The sequence below is a fragment of the Homo sapiens genome, chromosome 8 (assembly GCF_000001405.40).
Source record: "Homo sapiens chromosome 8, GRCh38.p14 Primary Assembly".
Lineage (NCBI taxonomy): Eukaryota > Metazoa > Chordata > Mammalia > Primates > Hominidae > Homo > Homo sapiens.
In genome coordinates, this window is record NC_000008.11 from 107,744,023 (window position 1) to 107,747,770 (window position 3,748).

Genomic DNA, 3,748 nt, shown 5'->3' on the forward strand with positions numbered 1-3,748 from the left:
CCTAAAATTAAAATGTGTTTATAAAAAGCATAAATAACATGCCAGAAAAAAAATGGGTATTTTTACATTTTTACTTTCTTTCTTTTTTTTTTTTTTTTTTTTTTGAGAGGGAGTCTCACTCTGTCGCCCAGGCTGGGGTGCAGTAGTGCAATCTTGGCTCATTGCAAGCTCTGCCTCCCAGGTTCACGCCATTCTCCTGCCTCAGCCTCCCAAGTAGCTGGGACTACAGGTGCCCACCACCACGCCCAGCTGATTTTTTGTATTTTTAGTAGAGACAGGGTTTCACCATGTTAGCCAGGATGGTCTCGATCTCCTGACCTCATGATCCACCCACCTCGGCCTCCCAAAGTGCTGGGAGTACAGGTGTGAGCCACTGCGCCTGGCCATCTATATATATTTTTATTATATCTTTACAAACTTTTTTTTACTTTTAAAACTCATTTAAAGCTTTATATTTTGTTATGCTCAGAATATATACTCAGTAAAAGTGTACTATTGCAACTTCATAATCTATTTGTCAAAAGAAAATCATAGGAAATTATTCACAAAAAGAATATAAAAAGATCAATTACATAATTAAGGGCTCAGTGTTGTAATATGGACTGAAAATACTTTAGGAGTTCAAAGAAAGAAAATATTTATGAGAGAGTAAACAATTCTTAGAGAAAATAGAAACTGAGTTCAGCTTTGATTTTCTATAGTAAGAAGATTCCTTTATTTTTGCATAGGACCATATATGAGCTTAGCCTTGAAGTAAGTTGTGATGGAGCTCACTATTAGAGCAATACAGGAAGTACACAAGGCAGAACAGGCACAAAATGGCCTAAGCTATCTGTGGGGCTATCCCTAGAGGGGTGGAATCAAGGTCTAAATCATGTCTGGGAGGACTGGCAAGGCTGGTACTCAGACAGAGGGCATCTACTCTTATGGATGGCAAGTGTCATCAAAAGGCAGTAGCATGTCAAGAGGCTGTCATGATCTTGGGGACAAATGCTCCAGTCTAAAGCAGAGCCGCAGTATTTGACGAGTGTCCAAGGATAAGATTTAACTCTGTGACAGAGGGGTTAGAAAGTGCTTAGTAGGTTCCAGGGAGTGTCCTACACCTATGAAAAGGGTATTGTTTGGAGCAGTGTCTGATTTCCAGCAATAACTTTGAATACCAACCAAGAAATAGGGCTGAAGCCAAACAATATGGATAATGGCATCATCACTGGGAATTCTAAAGAGAAGACACAGGTGCCCAAGGAGCTTATCCCAAACCCATTAGATAGACATCTTCAGTCATCAAAGCTGAGTTCAGATTCTACCTGCTGGTATAAATAGGGCTTCTAAAACATAGTCACATTTGGGCTCCAGATTAGGGTGGAGCTGAGCTTGTAACATCAAAGTTCTTTGTGACCTGCAGTTGAACAGAGTTTGGAAAGTCAGAAGCTGACATTTTCCAGTTTTCCAAATGCTTCCATATGTGCCATCTTATTTGAAAGCCTACAGACCTTTGGATCAGGAAAAGCAAGTATATTTTCCATATTTTGGACAGAAGACATGATATTCCTAGGTCCTGTGGTCAGTAAAAAGGTGTTCTATCTCTTAGTGTTCCTCCCTTGAATTGTAGACAGTCCTGGTTTTTATTTAGCTAGATGATTAAAATTCAAGTTATCATTAGAGAAATAAGGTTGTAAAGCCATGAAGGCTTTCATATTGTGAATGATGTATTAGTCTGTTAGGGCCACCATAACAAAATACCATTGTCAAGGCAGCTTAAAGAACAGAAATCATTTTCTAGAGGCTAGAACTCCAAGATCAAATGTGAGTAGAGTTGGTTTCTCCTGAGGCCTCTCTCCTTGGCTTGTACATGGCCTTCTCCCTATGTCTTCAAAGGGTCTCCTCTTTGTGCCTGTGTACAAATTTCCTCTTGTAATAAGGACACCAGTCATATTGGATTAGAGCCCACACTAATTCACTCATTTTACCATAATTACCTCTTTAAATATCCTATTTCAGGCTGGGTGTGGTGGCTCACGCCTGTAATCCCAGCACTTTGGGAGGCCGAGGTGGGCAGATCACAAGGTCAGGAGTTCATGACCAGCCTGGCCAATATGGCGAAACCCCGTCCCTACTAAAAATACAAAAATTAGCCAGGTTTAGTGACGGGCGCCTGTAATCCCAGCTACTTGGGAAGCTGAGGCAGGAGAATCGCTTGAACTTGGGAGGCAGAGGTTGCAGGGAGGCAGAGGTTGCAGTGAGCCAAGATCATGCCACCACACTCCAGCCTGGGCGACAGCTCAAGACTCTGTCTCTAAATAAATAAATAAATAAATATCCTATTTTTAAAGATGTTCACATTTGAGGTACAAGGTGTTAAGAACACAACATATGATGGTCGGGGGCACAATTCAGCTTATCCTTTTAAAACACATCAGATTTTAAAATTTTAGTTTTGAAGATAGGAGTGACACAATAGGAAATAGGGAGACACTGAAAGCTTTTGAAACAAGTGTCATCATGAAAGCCATATTTAAGAAAGATTAGTTTGGCAACTGATTGTAAAATGGCTCTGGGAAAAGATCAGAAATAGGGATACCAACTGGAAGGCTGTTAAAACAGTCTAGAAAGGATGTCATGGAAGTATAGTGATGTTTCCAAAGGAGTGCAAGTTTGAAAGTGTGATGGAACTCCCCCTTTTTGTTCTTAAAGCTTTGAGTAAAAGTATGTCATACAATACATTTCTACATTTCTGTAAACAGTACCACAAAGAATTCTGGTTAATGCTATAATAGAGCAAGAAAACCACATAAAGGACTACATAGAAGGTAACAAAAATGTATTCTAGATGCTGCACTAATGTTGTATAATAATCATCTAACATGCTACTGGTATAGTAATTTTTGCCCATCCATCATGCATTTCTTTAGCAAGCATGTATTAGGTAACAACTATGTCTTCTGAACAGAAAGTAAAAAGCTTAATCCTCCCCTAGAGGAGCCTAAGTTATTATTTATGTTGCCTAAAAGTGTATGTATTATTTTTTTCAAATAATTTGAACATTTTTTCTTATCTTTGCCAAAAATCTGCTCTAGGCCTTAAGCTCCATGAGCAATCATTAATTTACCCACCCATAAACCACTGAGAAGCCATCAAGCTCCTTTTCCACTGAGAGGCAGGGCACTTTCTTTATAAGAATAGTCCTACTATAAACATGCCAGAAAATACACTCTCATACCTGAAGCCTCTGCTAAGTGCCTTCAATCACCCTAATTCCCATTGACTTCAAAGGGAGCTCAGAAAAGATATGGTGGAGAAACAAGAAGTTGGCAGGAGTTGTACCAACACATCCTCAAGCCACAGTGTGTTAAAAACACAAACCTTTCATGAAGCTAAGTGCCAACAAATGATACTTAGCATTTTCAAAGAGCTTCCCAATAGTCTAATTAAATGCTGTGAGGTCAATCAGTATTATTAGCCTCATTGTGTAGATAAGAAAATGGAAACACAGAAAGGTTAAGTGATGTGCCCAGGCATTCATAGTTCAACAGCATTCATGTTAGTGTCTGAGCTCACAGGGTCTGACAATGACAACCATGGAGTGCTTCATCCTGTCTTCCAGTTCCCCTCAGAAATATTCTCGCTCACTATAATTCCTCAGTCACCATTTATGAACATTCTTTACGTCTGTTAAAGGTTTGATTTAACTTCTGAAGGTGAAAATACTTATCCCACATCAGAAAATAACCAAAGTGTCTCCTCAAAT